General features: G+C 48.2%; 2 annotated features.

The window, feature by feature from the left end:
- Nucleotides 10,208-10,507: a silencer, noted in NCBI's record as "silent region_12866". NCBI's record gives its function as "represses an Ori minimal core promoter by ATAC-STARR-seq in GM12878 lymphoblastoid cells {active_cell/tissue: GM12878}" and the evidence as "EXISTENCE:reporter gene assay evidence [ECO:0000049][PMID:35858748]".
- Nucleotides 20,642-20,821: an enhancer, noted in NCBI's record as "active region_17803". NCBI's record gives its function as "activates an Ori minimal core promoter by ATAC-STARR-seq in GM12878 lymphoblastoid cells {active_cell/tissue: GM12878}" and the evidence as "EXISTENCE:reporter gene assay evidence [ECO:0000049][PMID:35858748]".

Raw genomic sequence — 21,343 nt, 5'->3', positions numbered from 1 at the left:
CCAAGGCCTGGGATGTCTGACTTCAAAGTCTTATGCTCCCTCTTAGGCTATGCTACAGAGTTTTCCTTTGTGGAGATATTTGGGAAGAGGAGAGAGTTGACTCTGGGCTACGGCCTGGGCCACCTCCTGCTCAAAAGCAGGATGCCAGCTGGGCGCAGGGGCTCACACCTGTAATCCCATCACTTTGGGAGGCTGAGGAGGGAGGATCACGAGGTCAGGAGTTCGAGATCAGCCTGACCAACATAGTGAAACCCCATCTCTACTAAACATACAAAAATTAGCCAGGTATGGTGGCACACACCTGTAATCCCAGCTACTCAGGAGGCTGAGGCAGGAGAATTGCTTGAACCCGGGAGGCGGAGGTTGCAGTGAGCTGAGATCGTGCCACTGCACTCCAGCCTGGGCAACAGAACGAGACTCTGTCTCAAAAAAAAAAAAAAAGCAGGATGCCTTGGAGCTGCTTCTCCCATCGTTATGTCAGAGCCAGGGACGGGGTGCTGCTGATACTGCCACTCCCCAGAAATTGAGCTGGAAACTCTGCCCATCAATCTTCAAAGCCCTTTGCAGGTGCTTACCTGCTCTTGTAAATCACAGGACCATTCATTTCCCAGGTGAAGAGGTTGCAGCCCTAAGAGAATAAAAGAGACTTGGCCAGGAAAGGACAGCACCCCTTGACAGAGGTTTTGAATCCACTTTCATCGTTTTGAATCCACTGACCTAGAATGGGAAGAAGAACAACAACAAAAAAACCAAACCAAGTTACAACGGAAAACACATTGATGTGGGTGAAGGATCTCATGCTTAGGCTTTACCAGAGGACATGCCAGAACAATTTCCCATCAGTCCTGGTCTTCTCGCCTCCAGTCCATTCCATACCTTGGTGGCCTGATTAGTACTCCCAAAGCACAACTTCAACAAGCGCACTCTCAGTTCAAGAGACAAGTTCAAACTCCACAACTTGGTATTTGAGGCCCTCCATGGTGCACCTCTCTCTCTCTCTTTCTTTTTATTTATTTATTTATTTTGGAGACAGAGTTTCGCCCTTGTTGCCCAGGCTAGAGTGCAATGGTGCAGTCTCGCTCACTGCAACCTCTGCCTCCCAGGTTCAAGCAATTCTCCTGCCTCAGCCTCCCAAGTAGCTGGGATTACAGGCATATGCCACCACGTCTGGCTAATTTTTTGTTTTCAGTAGAGACAGGGTTTCACCATGTTAATCAGGCTGGTCTCAAACTCCCGACTTCAGGTGATCCACCCACCTTGGCCTCCCAAAGTGCTGGGATTACAGGAGTGAGTCACCACGCCCAGCCACGCCTGGCTAATTTTTTATTTTGTGTAGAGACGGGTTTTCACTGTGTTGCCCAGGTTGGTCTTAAACTCCTGGGCTCAAGCAATTCTCCCACCTCAGCCTCCCAAAGTGCTGGGATTATAGGCGTGAGCCACTGCACCTGGCCTGTAGCTCTATTTTTAACTGTTACCACTCTTGAAGAGCTCCTAATCCTTCTCACTGTTCCCTATATGTGCCTCACCTTGTTCCACTACAGCAGACCTGGCAGACATGCCAGTTCTAATTTCCCTTCTTCCAGTAATAATCCCTCCCTTTTCTTCGGAGAACTCTTTGCCCTTCACTCAGAAGATAGACAGAACCCTATACCCTCCAACAGAATGTATCTTTCAGGCCACAAGGATTAATTCAAGTAGCCAAGATGGCCCCATTATAATATTCTTTGGGACTTTTCTGCTAAAGGTAGCAGGGAAGGCTGTCTCATTCTCCTCTGATCTCCCTTTTCTGGGCCTCTCTCTGGGCACCTAGCACTTTTTACCTTTTAATATGATTATTCTTATATTCTCTGTGAGACTGTCTCAACTACTGCTTTCTCCAAATGCTCAATTTTTTTTTTTTCTTTGAGACCTAGTCTCACTCTCTTGTCCAGGCTGGAGTACAGTGGCGCAATGTTGGCTCACTGCATCTCCGCCTCCTGGATTCTAGCAAGTCTCCTGCCTCAGCCTCTCTAGTAGCTAGGATTACCAGAGCATGCCACCATGCCCAGCTAATTTTTGTATTTTTAGTGGAGACATGGTTTCGCCATGTTGGCCAGGCTGGTCTTGAACTCCTGACCTCAGGTGATCCACCCACCTCGGCCTCCCAAAGTGCTGGGATTACACATGTGTGCCATCACACCCGGCCAAAATGCTTAATTTTAACAAGCACTTACTTTCTGTCTTATATGCAGATGTTGTGTTATACTCTAGGGATACAAGTTGGATAAGACATAGTCCCTTGTTGAATGGATGGATGAATAAAAATGCTCCTCTGGGCCTCACCCAGAAATCTGCCTGATACCCACTCTAAACAAAATAAAACAACTTATCACAGGGGATTTGAACAAAGGAAAATAAAAAATATAAAGTTCAAAATCATTAACCTGGCATCCAAGACCTTCTACAATCTGATTCTAATTTTGTCTACCTACCACACTCTTAGCTCTAGCCAAACTAAAGTGTTTTGTTGTCCTAGAAAACACTATGTCTCCACTTGCATGTTCGTTTGCCCAGGCTCTGGTTTTCTCCCATGGTTTCTTTTCCTGTTTTTCTCTCCCATTTGTACCTTCCTTATTCTCCATTTCATTCCACTCTTTTTCTTTCTTTTTTTTTTTTTTTTTGAGACAGGATCTCACTTTGTCACCCAGGCTAGAGTGCAATGGTGCCATCATGGCTCACTGCAGCCTCGACCTCCTGGGCTCAAGTGATCCTCCCACCTCAGCCTCCCTAGTAGCTGGGACTACAGGCATACACCACCATGTCCCGCTAATTTTTGTATTTTTGTAGAGATGGGGTTTTGTCATGTTGCCCTGGCTGGTCTTGAACTCCTGGCCTCAAGTCATCCACCTGCCTCAGCCTCCCAAAGTACTGGGATTACAGGAATAACCACTGCACTCAACCTCTTTCCTTCACTTTTACCTCCTCTCTCTCCCCTTTTCCTTCCTTTTCACTCTCCCTGAGCTTTCTTTCAATACTTCCCTCTATCACATCCTTACCTCTTAATTTTCCTCTCTCGTTTATTTCCTGACCTCCTTCCCTCTCCACCAGACTTGCCACTGCCCTCCATGATTGTGCACAGTCTCCTCCCTTTGTGGGCAAAAGACAGTATAAGCAATTGTAAGTAAGACAGCTTTTAGATCTCATCACAAGAAGCCCTCAGAGTGGGGTGGAAAGAAGAGGGGGAGAAACGGAAGGGGAAGAGATCTTAGTGGCAGAGAAGAAGCTGCCTGGAGACTGCAGGTGAATCCATGGAAGGCATCCTGCCAGTTATTTACCTCCAACCCACCCCCAGCTTTCCTTTCCTCCTTCTGATCAAAGAATTGGGAAAAATTAGAACTGCAAAAATCCTTAACATTTATTTACTCCACCTCCACAGTTTCGCAGCTGGGAAACTGAAGCATAGAAAAGGGAAACAACTAGCTAATGTCACCCAGCAAGTCAGTAGCTCAGCAGAAATGGAATCCCAGGCTTCCTGCCCCCCAGACCAGTTAAGTGTCCTTTCACCTATACAACACTTTTTTTGAGACGGAGTCTCACTCTTGTCGCCCAGGCTGGAGTGAAATGGCGCCATCTTGGCTCACTGCAACCTCTGCCTTCCGGGTTCAAGCGATTCTCCTGCCTCAGCCTCCTGAGGAGCTGGGATTACAGGCGCCCGCCACCATGCCTGGCTAATTTTTGTATTTTTAGTAGAGATGGGGTTTCACCATGTTGGCCAGGCTGGTCTCAAACCCCTGACCTCAAGTGATCCGCTTGCCTCAGCCTCCCAAAGTGCTGGGATTACAAGCATGAGCCACCGTGCCCAGCCTATACCACACTCTTAAACCTTCTTTCCTCTTGTTCCTAGTTCTTCCCCACTTACTGAACTCCTACTCCACCAGGTTTGGGATTATGTCTAAGGATTCCCAATCCCCCCCGCTAGTGAGTATAGGGGCCAGTGAAGTAGGGACAGAAGGGACAAACCACATCACTTCTAGCCTAAATCTTAGGCGCTTATTGAGTGGTGGCAGGGGATGGTGAAATGTCAATCTTGCCTGTAAGGGGCCAGTCTCCTCTTTGGAAAGCCCTGTTATAAGTGATCTGTATTGAGTTAGGGGATGCTGTGTTTCAGCTGGCCATCCTGCCAGGACCCCTCCTCACCCTTCCAGCCTAGCAGGCTGCCTAGAGACCCTATCTTACCCCGCCAGCTGCAGACTTAAAGCAGAGGCCACCCAGGCACAGGATGGTCTGTGGCTGCGGGAGGAGGTTGCTCGAGGCAGAGGGGAGGAAACGGTTTCCAGCAGCTCCGCTTTCAGTCTGCTCCTCCACTCTACAAAGGGCCACTGTCTGAGCACAGAGGGACCCTGGAGGGAGGCTTCCCAAGGTGCTCGGCAACAGGGCCGGGTTTCATCACACTGGGCCTCCAGGCCAAGTAAACATCAGAGTAGAAACAGGCCCAGCAGTTTCTGCAGACCAGCTCCTGGCTCCAGGCGGGCTCAGTGGCATCCTCACCCAGGGCTTTCCTGAGACAATAAGGAGGGCTAAGGTTATTGGCCCAATTTTATAGCTGCAGAAATAGAGAATGAGGAATGAGCTCTATCCAAGTTAATTTCCCATTACCCAAGAAGCAGACAAACATCCTACGTCCCTCTTAAGGAGCAGGAGTTTTTTACAATAACTTTTTTTTTTTTTTGAGATGGAGTCTCACTCTGTCACCCAGGCTGGAGTGCAGTGGCACTATCTCAGCTCACTGCAACCTCTGCCTCCCAGGTTCAAGCAATTCTCCTACCTCAGCCTCCCGAGTAGCTGGGACTACAGGCATGCACCACCACCACACCCAGCTAATTTTTGTATTTTTTAAAGTAGAGATGGCATTTTGCCATGTTGGCCAGGATGGTGTCAAACTTCTGACCTCAAGTGATCCGCCTGCCTTGACATCCCAAAGTGCTGGGATTACAGGTGTAAGCCACTGCGCCCAGCCACAAGAACTTTTTTAACTAGTTCAGAGGGAGACAGCTCTGTGAGCTGAAGTAATCAGGGAAGACTTCCTGAAGGAAGTATGATTTAAGCTTAGCTTCCATGTTTAGGTAGAATCTCCACAATAAATGGACAGGAAAGAGAAAGGCATTTCAGGCAGAGAGTATGGCATTTGGAAAGCAGGAGCATTTGGAGTCAATAAAGAGAACTATCTGGCTAAGGTAGAGGATTCACATAGAAGAAAAGGGTGGCAAATAAGGCTGGAAATTTGGTTGGGAGTTAAACCACAGCTAGTTTTTTGTGGGTTTTTTTTTTGAGACAGAGCGAGACTCTGAGCTCACTGCAACCTCTGCCTCCCAGGTTCAAGCAATTTTTGTGCCCCAGCCTCCCGAGTAGCTGGGATTATAGATGTGCACTACCACACGCAGCTAATTTTTGTATTTTGAGTAGAGACAGGGTTTTACTATGTTAGTCAGGCTGGTCTCAAACTCCTGACCTCAAGTGATCTGCCCACCTCGGCCTCAGAGTGTTGGGGTTACAGGCATAAGCCACTGTGCTTGGCCTAGACCACAGCTAGTCTTAATAGCCAGGTTGAGGATTCACGGGCAGAGCAGTGATGGAATGACAGCAGAATTTTAGAAAACTTAGGATGGTGTAAAAGAGGCCCTAGATTGAACCCTGTTGATAACCTTGGACTGGTTATGGCATCTTTTGGGGGCTTAGTTTCTTCACCGTTAAAACAGTTGCACTAGAAAATCTGAAGCCCCTTTACATCTCTAAAATGCAAAGATTCTCCGATGGGGAAACATGGATCATATAGAATGAAGAAGGGAGACCGAGAGGCTAGGAGGACAGTCTGGAGGCTATGGCCAGCCTCTAGATATCTCTGGGCTGCATTTCTGCAGTGAATCATCTGCCCAGAGCTGCAGAAAGGCTATCACCACCACCGCCACCACTGCTAGGCATTGTGCTAAGTACTGCCCCCTTTTTTAAAAAATTTCATTTTTGTGAATAGAAAATGCATGCACATACTGCAAAATCTAAAAGTCATAAAAGGGTGTATGTATGGTAAAAATGTTTCCCTTCTCCTGTTTCCAGCCACCCATTTCTTCTCCCACTGTTACCAGTTCCTTGAGTATCCTTTCAGATGTACATGAGCCTGTATCTGTATAAAGATTTTATAGGCTGGGCACGGTGGCTCACTCCTGTAATCCCAGCACTCTGGGAGGCCAAGGCGGGCGGATTACCTGAGGTTGAGAGTTCGGGACTAGCCTGACCGACATGGAGAAACCCCGTCTCTATTAAAAAAATACAAAATGAGCCGGGCGTGGTGGTGCATGACTGTAATCCCAGCTGCTTGGGAGGTTGAGGCAGGAGAATCACTTGAACCCAGGGGGCAGAAGTTGTGGTGAGCCGAGTTCGCGCCATTGCACTCCAGCCTGGGGAACAAGAGTGAAACTCTGTCTCAAAAAAAAAAAAAGATTTTATAAAGATTTTTTTTTTTTTTTTTTTTTTTTTTTTTACAGAAATGAATGCATTGGCTGGGCGCAGTGGCTCATGCCTGTAATCCCAACACTTTGAGAGGCCAAGGCAGGTGGATCATCTGAGGTCAGGAGTTTGAAATCAGCCTGGCCAACATGGCAAAACTCCATCTCTGCTAAAAATACAAAATTTCGCTGTGTGCCGTGGTGCACGCCTGTAATCCCAGCTACTTGGGAGGCTGAGGCAGAATTGCTTGAACCCGGGAGGCAGAGGTTACAGTGAGCCAAGATCGTGCCACTGCACTCCATCCTGGGCAACAGAGCGAGACTCCATCTCAAAAATAAATAAATAAATAAATAGTGTGTTTATAAACAACAAATTAATGAATATCCCTTACACTTGTCTTTCAGCATATGCAGAAATATGTCCACAGGGCCGGGCACAGTGGCTCATGCCTGTAATCCCAGCACTTTGGGAGGCTGAGGCAGGTGGATCACCTGAGGTCAGGAGTTCGAGACCAGCCTGGCCAACATGGTGAAACCCCCATCTCTACTAAAAATACAAAATTAGCCGGGCGTGGTGGAGGGTGCCTGTAATCCCAGCTACTTGGGAAGCTGAAGCAGGAGAATTGCTTGAGCCCGGGAGGCAGAGGTTGCAGTGAGCCAAGCCTGTGCCATTGCACTCCAGCCTGGGTGAAAAAAGCGAAACTGTCTCAAAAAAAAAAAAAGAAAAGAAAAGAAAGAAAGAAAAGAAATATGTCCACAGGATATGTTCCTAGAGCTGAAATTGTGCGCTAACCTTTTCACGTGATGTAATATGTACAACAATGGTTTAGGGTAATCATAATTATACCAATTATGCAAATGAGAAAATTAAGGCACAGAAAGATTCAATAACTTGGTCAAAGTCACACAGCTCTTATGTAGTAGCATTGAGATTCTGATATGGACAGTGTGATACTAGAGCCAACACAATTAATTATTCCACCAGTGGTTCTCAGACTTTAGCACGACTTTGTCCTGGTTCTCAGGACATCAGCAAGACCTGGAGGCTTGTTAAAACATAGATCACTGTGCCCTACACTAAAATAGTTTCTGATTCAGTCCATCTGAGATAGGGCCCGATAATTTTTTTTTTTTTTTTTGAGATGGAGTCTCGCTCTGTCATCCAGGCTGGAGTGCAGTGGCGCAATCTCGGTTCACTGCAAGCTCCGCCTCCCAGGTTCACGCCATTCTCCTGTCTGAGTCTCCCAAGTATCTGGGACTACAGGCGCCCGCCACTACGCCTGGCTAATTTTTTTGTATTTTTAATACAGACAGGGTTTCACTGTGTTAGCCAGGATGGTCTCGATCTCCTGACCTGAGAATTTGTATTTTAATAAGTTCCCAGGTGGTCCAGATACTGCTCGTCCAAGGACCACAATTTCAGGACCACTGTACTCTACTAGCTCTCCCATTTTAGCTGTGCAGCTAGCTCAGAAAGAAAGCAGTTGGTACCCAGCATGTGGCTTTGACAGGACCAGAGTTGGGAGGCACTGGAGAGGTTTCCTGGATCCCATAAGGCTATCCTCCATGAGGACAGAGTGAGAGTCTGGCACAGTGCCTGGCACATGGTACTCAATAAATATTTGTTGAATAAATGAATAAATAAATGAGGTACAAATGCTCCATGCAACTTGTTGCTGCCTCTTTTTCCCAGCACCCCAGGAGTCCCCTGCCCCCGGGAAGCCCCACTGCCCACACTGGCTGAGATCCAAATCCATGTTATGAAAGCCCTTGGGAGTGAAGCTGTTCATTTCCTCCCATTCCTCCCATGGCCTATAATGAAATCAACGAGGCAGCCAGGGCCCTGTTATTAATGGAGAGGCAACATCTTAGCATGCTAGAGCTAGTTCGAAATAAACTAGTCTGATGCTTTCATTGTATTATTATTAATAGCAATAACTCATAGCATACCCATGCTTGCTTTAAAAAAATAAATCCCTCTGACCAGTATTTCCTTCCCCCTTATTCTGGTACAGAACAACTCCTTCCAGGGGGGAAGCCATTGCATGTGGTTGGTGTGGCTGGCACACACACACACACACACACACACACACACACACAGGCTGGGAGAGATTTAAATTCAGGAAGAGGCTGGGTGCAGTGGCTCATACCTGTAACCCCAGCACTTTGGGAGGCCAAGGTGGGCAGATCACTTGAGGCCAGGAGTTTGAGACCAGCCTGGGCAATATGGCAAAACCCTGTCTCTACAAACCCCCGGCTAAAATACAGAAATTAGCCAGGCATGGTGGCGCACACCTGTAATCCCAGCTACCTGGGAAACTGAGGCATGAGAATCGCTTGAACCTGGAAGGCGGAGTTTGTAGTGAGCCAAGATCGGGCCACTGCACTCCAGGCTGGACGACAGAGCAAGACTCCATCTCAAAAAAAGAAAAAAATAAATAAAAATAAATAAATTAATTAATTCGGGAAGAGATCTGAGGTCTGCGGGATGACCCTTCTGCAGAGCAGCAAGGCACTGACAGAGATTTCCCCAAAACCCGCAAAAAAAGGTATTCAAAGTCAGGGATCGTGTCCTGAGGACCCCACACACCAACCCAACTCCTCAAGGTGCTGCCTCCCTTACAGAATCGGATCCCTAAACTCCGGCACCTCAAGGTCCTGCGGCCTCCTCCCAGCCCCGGAGCTTCTTCCAGCTGTTCCTCGCCTGGCCCGAAGTCCCACCCCTGCTGCCTGCCTGTCCCTTGGCCTCTGTCTTAGGCTCTCTTCCCTGTGGGTGCCCTTGCTTGGGATCCCCTAAGGCTCTGACTGTGTGTGGCTGGAGAGGTCCAGGCCACAGAGCCCCGGAGGGCACCACCTCAGAAGCCCTCGCTGGACAGCTGGAGAGAAGGTGGCCGTCCTTCAGCCAGGCTCGGCCCCAGCTGCACTTCACGGGGGCAACCTGATGCCCACCTGCAGGGGGACAGATGCGGCCAGCGGCGGCCACCAACACGTCCCTCAGACACAGACGCTGCCAGGCAAGCCGAGCTAGCCAGGGGCGCCTAGGGAGGGACAGCCAGGCGACCGTCATTCTGCACGCCCTGTCTGTGAAGGGGCAGCCGCACTCAGCTGCGGCCACAGTCAGCGCCTCACAGGGCAGCGCTGAGCGGTGCAACCTCGGCAGGGGTCAGGAAGTCTCTGGAAGCCGGTAGCGCCACTCGGGCCAGGCGTTGCCAGAGTCAATCCGTCGGTGTCGGCCGGCTCAGCAGAGATGGGGTCAAGCAGCTGATCGGCCGCTAGGAACCTTGTGCTCAGTCAGACACAGACCGTCGCGGCCGGTCACACAGCTCGCCAAGCACAGATGGAGGCTGGTCAGGCAGAGGCAGATAGGCCGCCCGGTCAGACGCAGCCCGTCAGGCCCAGATGGCGGCCGGGCAAGAGCAGCCAGCCAGCCAGCCAGCCAGGCAGCCAGTCAGCCAGCCAGTCAACCAGCCAGCCAGTCAGCCAGTCAGCCAGCTGCGGCCAGGCTGACAGATCCAGCAGTCTTGGTCTGTCAGGCACCCATGAAACCTGCGTTCAGTCAGACGGAAGCTGACACACTCGTATTATCAGGCGGTGGCGGCACCTGTGGTCAGTCAGGCACAGTCGCTGGGTCAGCGCGGCCCGTCGGGCTCGGACAGAACCAGTCGGGTCGCAGCTGTCGGGCCTCTCTCCGGGCAGAGAGTTGCTGGAGGCGGGGCTTCGTTCCGGGGCGGGGCTTCGTTCTGGGCGGAGCGTTGGCTGGAGGCAGGGCCTCGTCCCGGCTGGGCCTGCCTCCCCTCCCGGCAGCTTCCGGGCGTTGCCATGGCAGCCGCGGCCGGCTCCCAGACTGCCAGGGGGTCGAAGGACTCGCGGCCTTTCCCGCGCTGGCCCTGCCCCTGGGCGCCCCAGCGCCTGCCAAGTGGAGGTCCTGGCCCTGGGGCCGACTCTCTAGAAGCGGCCAGTGGGTTCGGCGAACCGCGCCCCGCACAGCAGCAGAGTCCCCGCTACGGGGTCGGCATTTTCTCATCCTCTTGCTCAGGCGGGCATGATTAGGGGGCTGGGAAGGACTCACAGAAGGCGACGCAGCAAGAAGTGACAGAGACCCAGACCCTCCGGAGCCCCAGCTGCTCACCTGACCCTGCACCGCCCCCCAGGAAGAATCAAACGTCTCTAGGCAGAAAGGGCGGCCGTATCCAGAAGAGAGAACAGCCATGCAGTGATGTGCTTAGGGAAATCTGGCGCAACAATGTCAAGGCGAGCACTCACCTTGTGCCCAGCCCTGTAATAAAAGGTTTATATACAGTATTTCACCCGAGCCTTATAATTTTGCTTTGGGGTTCTATAATGATTCCCTTTTTACAGATGAGGAAACCAATCACAAAGGGTTTGGTGATTTGCCCAGGGTCAGGGGCAGTGAGGTGCGGGAGCCGGATTGGAACCCAAGCAGTCCAACTCCTGACATGTTGGCATGTGGACCCTCAGCCCACCCTCTGTTCTCTCCTTGTGACCTTCCGAAGGCTCAGCATGAGTCCCCTTAGCAGACCTTCAGGACACCCAGCCCTATGCTGGGTCCTGAGGTGGCAGAGTCCTGTAGGAGTCTCTGCCTGGAAGGCTCAGAATAAGGGGCTATCAGAACCAAGAACCTGGTCAAACCAGAGGACAAACTATGGGTTTGCCTTGCAATATTTAGAAGAAGGGGAAGCCTGTGAGATCAGAGAAGCCAGGGCCAAGAAGCCACTGGAAAACTGGGTGGGCTGTCACTGGGGAACCCCAGGAGTATTACAGCTTCAAGTCCAAAAGTCTATGATCAAGTTATAGCAGTGTGAACCAGAGTTAGGAACATATCATGGATCATAAACTCAAATGCCTACCGGGGACAGAAAGGTAATGAAAATCATGGAAAAAAAAATCAGGCCGGGCACAGTGGCTCATGCCTGTAATCCCAGCACTTTGGGAGGCCGAGGTGGGTGGATCATTTGAAGTCAAGAGTTCAAGAGCAGTCTGGCCAACATGGTGAAAGCCTGTCTCTACTGAAAATACAAAAACTAGCCGGGTGTAGTGGTGGGTGCCTGTAATCCCAGCTACTCAGGAGGCCAAGGCAGGAGAATCACCTTGAGCCTGAGAGGCAGAGGTTGCAGTGAGTCGCAATTGCGCCACTGCACTCCAGCCTGGGCAACAGAGTGAAGCTCCCTCTCAAAAAAAAAAAAAAAAAAATCAAATGCCAGATCAGCAAACCTGCCCCATCTCCGGGGGGCATCTGCCTCTTTGCTTCTGCTGACTATGCTCTCAGACACCCACTGCTTCTAGTCTTCTAGTTAGGCAAAGTTGGCTAAGTCAGTTGACATCAAGTCTCAGTTTCTCCATCTGAGAAGGAAACGTTTGGCTTTATCTCACACATTTTATGGGGATCAAACATTATTGTATGTAGAAAATATTTTGTGAAGTGTAACAAACTATAAAATGGAGGGGGAGGAGAATGTGACTGATCATTTGTTGTGCATCTGTTTCACAGTCTGCAGGAGTTCTGACAGCATTCCTCTGAGTCAGGGCTAGTGTCCTCTTGTACAGATGAAGAGATAGTCTTCAAGGAATATGTTGACTTAACCAAAGTCACAGGCTTGCCAGAGTTAGAATGTAGAACTCTCTGACCTCTAAGACCAATCTCTTACACTGTTTGGCAAAGTGTGGCTTGGGTCCCACCAAGGCAGGGCAGGTGATCCCAATTGGGGCTTAGCCCAGGAGGGTTCTTGACTTGAAAGAATTCAAGGGTAAGTCAGTGATGTCAGATAGTAACTTTTATTGAAGTGGCAGTGTTCGGCAGCAGCAGACGTACTGCTTCTTGTGGAGCAGGGTTACCCCATAGGCAGTGTGCCTAGAGTAGCAGCTCAAACGCAGTTCTGCAGTCATATTTATACCCACTTTTATTTACATGCAAATTCAGGGGCAGATTATGCAGAAATTTCTAGGAAAAAGGTGGTAACTTCTTGGTCTTGGGTCACTACCATGGAAAGGGCAGTAACCTCTGAGTGTTGCCATGGCAATGGTAAACTGGCATGGCACACTGGTGGGCATGTCTTATGGAAAGCTTCTTCTACCCCATCCCTGCTTTAGCTAGTCCTCAATTTGGTCCAGTGTCTGAACCCCACCTCCAGACTCGAGTCCTGCCTCCTACCTCACTAGTGGTCATAATACGATGATTTCAGGTGGAACCCAGATGAACATTTTTTAAAACCAGGTTATGTCATAGTTTTTATTTTTAAGTATAGAGCCGGCTTACTCATACTACAAAAGTCCTACATTTCACACAGCCAGGGTGTAGTAGGCTGAATAATGGCCACCCAAATATATCAAGTCCTAATCTCTGGAAACTACTGTAAACATTACTTTATTTGAGAAAATAATTTTTGCAGATGTGATTAAGAATGTTGAGATGAGGATATCATTGAGGATTAGCCAAGTGGGCCCTAAATTCCATCACACATATCCTTATAAGAGAGAGGGAAAGGAAGATTAGACCAACACACACAGAAGAAGAGGAAGCAATGTGACCATGGAGGCAGAGACTGATGTGGCCACAAGCCAAGGATTGTTGGCAGCCACCAGAAGTTGGAAGAGGCAGACGGATTCTTCCCCAGAGCATCTGGAGGGAATACAGCCTTGCCAACACATTGACTTCAGCTCAGTGAAACTCATGTTCAATTTATGGCCTCCAGAACTATGAGAGAATAAATTTCTGTTGTTTTAAGCTACCAGGCTTGTAGTAATTTGTTTTGGCACCCACAGGAAACAAATAAATGGATCTACATGACTTCAAAATTCATGCCTCTTTTTTTCTCTTTTTATTATTTATTTATTTATTTTGAGACAGAGTCTCGCTCTGTTGCACAGGCTGGAGTGCAGTGGCGTGATCTCGGCTCACTGCAACCTCTGCCTCATGGATTCAAGTAATTCTCATGCCTCAGCCTTCCAAGTAGCTGGGATTACAGGCATGCGCCACCACGCCTGGCTAATTTTTGTATTTTTAGTACAGATGGGGTTTCACCATGTTAGCCAGGCTGGTCTCAAACTCCCAACCTCAGGTGATCCACCCACCTCGGCCTCCCAAAGTACTGGGATTATAGGCATGAGCCACCGCACCCAGCCTTCTCTCTTTTTAAAATAAACTTATTATTTTAAAATAATTTTACATTTACAGAAAATAAATGTAAGTCTTTGATTTAGAGTACAGAAATTTCCCATTGTGTTAGGGCTCACCAGAGAAAGAGAACCAATACGGTGTGTGTGTGCATAAAAGAGATTTATCATAAAGAATTGGCTTACCTAATTATGAAGGCTGGCAAGCCCGAATCCCACAGTGTGGGCCTGCAGGCTGATGACCCAGGAGAGCCAATGGTGCAGTTTGAAGGCAGCCTGCCGGAGAATTCCATCTTGCTTAGGGAGGCCAGTCTTTCTGTTTTATTCAGGCCTTCAACTGATCAAATGAGGCCCGCCCACACCCAAGTTCAACCATTTAAATGCTAATATCATCCAAAACCACCCTCCATGTTGACACATGAACTTAACCATCATACTCAAGAGTACAGAGAGTTCCTGTATAGCCCTCACCCTGCTTCCCCTATTATTACCACCTTACATTACTATGGCATTTGTCACAACTAAGAAACCAACACTGGTACATTCCTATGAACTAAATTCCACCTGTTTTCTGCTCCAGAGTCCCTTCTAGGACACCACACTACATTTAGTCATCATGTCCCTTTAGTTTCTTCTGGCTTGTAACAATTACTCAGGCATTTCTTGGTTTTTAAGACCTTGACAGCTTTGAGGAGTACTGGACAGGTATTTTACAGAGTGCCCCTCAATTTGGGTTCATCTGATGCTTTTCTCATAGTTAGACTGGGGTTATGAGTTTGGGGAAACATGTCATAGAGGTAAACTGCTCTTCTCATCAAATCATAGGTACATGTTATTGACATGACTTCATCAGGATACATGTTAGCGACATGACTTGATTACCTGGCCAAGCGAGTGTCTGTCCAGTTTCTCCCCTGGGAAGTTGCTTGTTTTTCCTCCCTTTCCACTCTTTGGAAGCAAGTTACTAAGTGCAGCCCACACTCAATGGGAGAATTAAGCTCCACAACCTGAAGGGGTTGTATCTACCTACATTATCTAGAATTCTTCTTTAAGGATCATTTGTCTCTTCTCCCTTATTTATTTATTTATTTATTTATTTATTTATTTATTTATTGAGACAGAGTTTCACTTTGTTGCCCAGGCTGGAGTACAATGGCACAACACTGGGTCACCACAACCTCCGCCTCCCAGGTTTAAGAGATTCTCCTGCCTCAGCCTTCCCAAGTAGCTGGGACTACAGGCATGCGCCACCACGCCTGGCTAATTTTGTATTTTTAGTAGAGACGGGGTTTCTCCATGTTGGTCAGGCTGGTCTTGAACTCCCGACCTCAGGTGATCTGCCTGCCTCAGCCTCCCAAAGTGCTGGGATTACAGGCGTGAGCCACCGCGCCCAGCCCTCCCTCATTTATTTATTTAATCATTTATAACAGTATGGACTCATGGATATTTGGTTTATACTTTGAACTTTATCCCAATACTATGTTATTTTGTTGCTCAAATTGTTCCAGCTTTGGCCATTGGGAGCTTTTTTTTTTTTTTTTTTTAGATGGAGTCTTCTCTGTCACCTAGGCTGGAGTGCAGTGGCGCGATCTCAGCTCACTGCAACCTCCGCCTCCGGGGTTCAAGCGATTTTCCTGCCTCAGCCTCCCGAGTAGTTGGGACTACAGGCGTGCTCCACCATGCCTGGCTAATTTTTGTATTTTTAGTAGAGATGGGGTTTCACCATGTTGGCCAGGCTGGTCTCAAACTGTTGACCTTAGGAGATCCACCTGCCTCAGCCTCCCAAAGTGCTGGGATTACAGGTGCAAGCCACTGCGCCTGGTTGGGAGCTTTTTCGGCTGTTGCCTGTGTCCCTTTGACACTAATTGCTTTGCTAAGTGTGGTTTGGGTTCCACTGGTTGCACCGAGATGATTTCAAGTGCAACCCAGAAGAACATTTTTTAAAGAGTTATATATTTACTTTAATGTATATTAGGAAAACATATAACTAGCATGTCAACTTGATGATTTCACAAATACTGCTGAGGACAAGGTTAATGTAGCAACAGTTGGGCGAAATTAGTCAATTCATAGAGCGGTATTAAGTAGAAACTGGTACTGATGTGCTATGGTCTGAATGTTTGTGACCCCTCACCCCCAAATTCCTATGTTGAAATCCTAACCCCCACAGTGATGGTATTAAGAGGTGGGGCCCTTAGGAAGTGATTAGATCGTGGGAGAAGAGCCTTCATGAATGGGATCAATGTTATAAAAGAGGCCGGGCCAGGCACGGTGGCTCACGCCTGTAATTCCAACACTTTGGGAGGCCAAGGTGGGCGGATCACCTGAGGTTGGGAGTTCAGGACCAGCCTGGCCAACATGGTGGAATACCGTCTCTACTAAAAATGCAAAAATTAGCAGGCATGGTGGCAGGAGCCTGTAATCCCAGCTACTCGGGAAGCTGAGGCAGGAGAATCGCTTGAACCTGGGAGGCAGAGGTTGCAGTGAGCCCAGATCGCGCCATTCCACTCCAGTCTGGGCAAGAAGAGCGAAACTCCATCTCAAAAAAAAAAAAAAAAAGAAAGAAAGAAAAAGAAAGAAATAAACCCTGTCTCTACTAAAAATACAAAAATTAGCTGGGCATGGTGGCAGGCACCTGTGATCCCAGCTACTCAGGAGGCTGAGGCAGGAGAATTGCTTGAACCCAAGAGGCAGAGGTTGCAATGAGCTGAGATCGTGCCACTGCACTCCTGCCTGGGTGGCAGAGCAAGACTCCGTCTCAAAAAAAAAAAAAAAAAAAAAAAAAAAAAAAAAAAAAAAAACTGGGCCTTCGCCAGACACAGAATCTGCCATTTCCTTGATCTTAGACTTCCCAGCCTCCAGAACTGTAAGAAATAAATTACTGTTGTTTATAAGCCACTCAATTGATGGTATTTTGTTCTAACCGCCTGAATGGACTGACACATTGTGGTACATGGATATGGAAAAAGTTGTTAGGCTGATTTAGAAACGATTCAAGTTTGAGAAACTGTAGTAGGGCAAAACCAAATCCCACGTTCAAGCAATGATAATAATGATGATCCTGGCTGGGCGCGGTGGCTCATGCCTGTAATCCCAGCACTTTGGGAGGCCGAGGCGGGCGGATCATGAGGTCAGGAGATTGAGACCATCCTGGCTAACACGGTGAAACCCCGTCTCTACTAAAAATACAAAAAATTAGCCGGGTGTGGTGGCAGGCACCTGCAGTCCCAGCTACTCAGGAGGCTGAGGCAGGAGAATGGCATGAACCCGGGAGGCGGAGCTTGCTGTGAGCTGAGATCGAGCCACTGAACTCCAGCCTGGGCAACAGAGCAAGACTCCATCTCAAAAAAAATAAAAAATAAAAAAATAATGATGATCCTAAGTGGACTTTATGGGACACCCCCCCAACACCACCTGTTTTCCAGAGCCCTGATGACAATTAGATCTGCCTCAGTGCAGACAAATGCTAATAGCAATAATGGTGGGACTGTATGCCCAGGCCCGGGAAGGTACAGATGTTGCACTGCCTTTGTTTCCCAAGTCTCAAACTCCTGACCTCAGGTGATCCACCCGCCTCAGCCTCCCAAAATGCTGGGATTACAGGCATGAGCCACCATGCCCAGCCATTATTATTATTATTATTATTGAGACAGAATCTCCCTCTATTGCCCAGGCTGGAGTGCAGTGATGCGATTGCAGCTCACCGCAGCCTCCGCCTCCCAGGTTCAAGTGATTCTCCTGCCTCAGCCTTCCAAGTAGCTGGGATTACAGGCGTACACCATCACACTGGCTCATTTTTGTTTTTGTTTTGGGTGTTTTTTTTTTTTTTTTTGAAACAGAGTCTCGCTCAGTGCCCAGGCTGGAATGCAGTGGCGTGATCTTGGCTCACTACAACCTCCGCTTCCCAGGCTCAAGCAATTCTCCTGCCTCAGCCTCCCGAGTAGCTAGGATTACAAGCGCCAGCCACCATTCCAGGCTAATTTTTGTATTTTTAGTAGAGATGGGGTTTCACTGTGTTGACCAGGCTGGTCTCGAACTGTTGACCTTAGGTGATCTGCCTGCCTTGGCCTCCCAAAGTGCTGATTACAGGCGTGTACCACTGTGCCCAGCTTCATTTTTGTATTTTTAGTAGAGACGAGGTTTTGCCATGTTGGTCTGGCTGGTCTCAAACTCCTGGCCTCAAGCAATCTGCCCTCCTCCGCCTCCCAAAGTGCTGGGATTACAGGCATGAGCCACGGCACCCAGCCATTTAGCTTTCTTGACTCTGTCCAAGCCTAAGCCCTGACCCAGGTCCTGAATCTGCCTCCTGATTGAGCAGTGACACACCAGAATCTGTGGCCTGATCTGAAATAGAAAGCCCTTCAAGAAAGGAATACTTTAGTTTCCCTGCTGCTAGTCTGAGCTGTGGGTGGTTTCAGGCTGTGTGTACTCAGACTTCTAAATCCCCTATAGTGCCTTCCCAGGGAGCTTGGGAGTCAGATGAGTTGGATTAAAATCCTAGTTTTTTTCTGAGAACTAGACAAGTGACATAGCTTCTCCTCTGTAAAAGGAGGAGAGTAGTAGCACTTACTTCACAGGATTGCTGTGCAGGTTAAATGAGACAATATATGTACAGTGCTGAGCACAGTGCTTGGCCCACAGTATGTGCTCAATTAATTAATTTCTTTACAATTATTAATGCCTACTGCATACCAGGCACTGTGCTGAGTGCCAGGGACATAGGTGAAAACCAGAACAGAAAATAAACTAGTAAATTAATAGATAGGCAGGGCATGGTGGCTCATGCTTGTAATCCCAGCACTTTGGGAGGCTGAGGTGGGAGGATTGCTTAGAGCCAGGTGTTCAAGACCAGCCTGGGCAACAAAGTGAAACTCTGTCTCAACAACAAAAAAAAACTTTTTTTTTTTTTTTAATTAGCCAGGGTGTGGAGATGCACTCCTGTAGTCCCAGGTACTCCAGAGGCTGGAGAAGGAGGATCTCTTGAGCTCAGGAATTCGAGGCTGTGGAGAGTTACGATCGTATCACTGCACTCCAGCCTGGGTGAGAGGGTGAAACCCTGTCTCAAAATTAAATTAATTAAATTAAAAATAGACAAAGCAGGCCAGCTGTGGCAGCTCACACCTGTAATCCCAGCACTTTGGGGGGCCAAGGCAGGAGGATCACTTGAGGTCAGGAGTTCAAGACCAGCCTGGCCAACATGGCATAACCTCATCTCTACTAAAAATACAAAAATTAGCCAGGCGTGGTGGTGCATGCCTGTAATCCCAGACACTAGGGAGGCTGAGGCAGGAGAATCGCTTGAACCCAGGAGGCGGAGCTTGCAGTGAGCTGAGATTACACCACTGCACTCCAGCCTAGGTGACAGAGTGGGACTCCATCTCAAAATAAATAAATAAATATAGTGAGGCATATAAAGCCAAGTCCTCAGTACAGTGCCTTGCATATAAGAAATGTGCAGAAATGTTCATTACTATTAATAAAATAATGAGATTTTTGAAAAATGAAGGAAGGAAATAAGTAGGGCAATGTGATGATAACTGGAAGAGACCGCCTGGAGAAAGGGCGGCCAGGAAAGGCTGTCTAAAGAGATAACATTGGAGCTGAGACCTATAGGATGAGAAGAAACTTAGCCTTGCCAAACCCAGTGAAGAGGTGAAGAGTCTTCCAGGTAGACAGCATGTGGAAAGGCCCTGAGGCAGAGAAGAGCTCAGAGAGTGGAAGGAACAGCAAGGAGACTAGCGTGGCTGGCATATAACGAGACAGGGAGAGAGTGGCTCAAGATGGGGCATGAAGCTGGGGGCAGTGGCTAATGCCTAAAGTCCCAGCACTTTGGGAGGCCGGGACGGGCTGGGGAGGGTGGATGGCTTGAGCTCAGTTCAAGACCAGCCTGGGCAACATGGCAAAACCCTCTCTCTACAAGAAATATAAAAATTAGCTGGGCATGGTGGCGTGTGTCTATAGTCCTAGCTACTTGGGAGTCTGAGGCAGGAGGATCACCTGAGCCCAGGGAGGACGAGGCTGTAGTGAGCCATAATCACACCACTGCACTGCACTGCACTGCAGCCTGGGTGACAGATTGAGATCCTTCTCAAACAAAAACAAAAAAAAAAACAAAGATGAGGCACGAGGGACACAAAGGGCAGGTCAAAGGGCAGGTCATGGAAGGCAGTGGTCGTGGAAATAAGTTTGATTTTGTTCTAAGTGTGATGAAAAGCCACTGAAGGCTTAAACAGGAGAGTTATAAGATCTGATTTTTGATTAAAAGTTCATTCTGGCTTCTGTAGGGAGAACGGATTAGAAAGGGAGAGCAGTAGAAACCAGAACAACAACAATTAAGGGGCTATTAGAGTCATCCAAATGAAAGACGTTGCTAGCTTGGATTTGGATACAGATCAGCACTGTCAATGGGACTTCCTGGGATGGTGGGAACATTCTCCACCTGTGCTCATATGGTAGCCACTGGCTCCTAGTTCCCTGTGACTCTTGAGCACTTGGAATGAGGGTGGTGTGGCTGAAGAACTGAATTTTTAATTTCATGTCATTCTAATGAATTACAATTTAAATAGGCACACGTAGCTAGTGGCTACTATAATGGACAGCACAGGGAATTGGCTGTATTTGAAATATATTTAGGAGGCAGATAGGACTGGGGATGGTTGCCGTGTGGGAAGTGAGAGAATGGGGAATCAAGGGAGATCGAGAATTACTTGGTGTATTAGTCCATTTTCACGCTGCTGATAAAGACATACCCGAGTCTGGGAAGAAAAAGAGGTTTAATCGGACTTACATTTCCACATGGCTGGGGAGGTCTCAGAATCATGGCAGGAGGTGAAAGGCACTTCTTACACAGCAGCAGCAAGAGAAAATGAGAAAGATGCAAAAGCGGAAACCCCTGATAAAACCATCAGATCTCATGAGACTTATTCACTACCATGAGAACAGTATGAGGGAACCACCCCATGACTCAAATTATCTCCCACTGGGTCCCTCCCATAACGTGTGGGAATTATAGGAGTACAATTCAAGATGAGATTTGGATGGAGACACAGCCAAACCATATTACTTGGGAAACAGGTGGATGATACTGCCATTTACTGATAGGGAAGAGCAGGCTCTGGGGAGATACCAAGAGTTTTGTTTTGCACAAGAGGAGTTTCAGATACTGTTGGAACATTCAAGTAGAGCTATCAGGTAGAAAGCAGAATGTATGCTGAGCACAGTGGCTCATGCCTGTAATCTCAGCACTTTGGGAGGCCGAGGTGGGCGGATCATGAGGTCAAGAGTTCCAGACCAGCCTGGCCAACATGGTGAAATCCCATCCCTACTAAGAATACAAAAATTAAAGGGATGTGGTGGCACGTGCCTGTAATCCCAGTTACTCAGGAGGCTGAGTCAGGAGAATCGCTTGAACCTGGGAGGCGAGGGTTGCAGGGAGCCGAGATCACACCACTTCACTCCAGCCCAGACACAGCAAGACTGCGTCTCGGAAAAAAAATAATAAAAGAAAAAGAAAAAGAAAGCAGGATGTATACATGTTTTTCATCATCCTCATCTTTAGGTTCCAGGAATACCCACATGTTTGGCTGCTTAGGCGGTGGGAAGCTCAGAAAGGGGACCAGGAGCCTCTCCTACTCCTTGTCTTGGCTAATGTATCAACTACCAAACTACCCATTAGCGCTAGTGTTTGAAACTTGTATAATCCATGGCTCTTCCTTCCCCTCCTCCCTCTTCTC

The sequence above is a fragment of the Homo sapiens genome, chromosome 20, assembly GCF_000001405.40.
Source record: "Homo sapiens chromosome 20, GRCh38.p14 Primary Assembly".
Taxonomy (NCBI): Eukaryota; Metazoa; Chordata; class Mammalia; order Primates; family Hominidae; genus Homo; species Homo sapiens.
The sequence above is the reverse complement of the archived record's forward strand: the minus strand, read 5'-3'. Positions and strand labels throughout refer to the sequence as shown.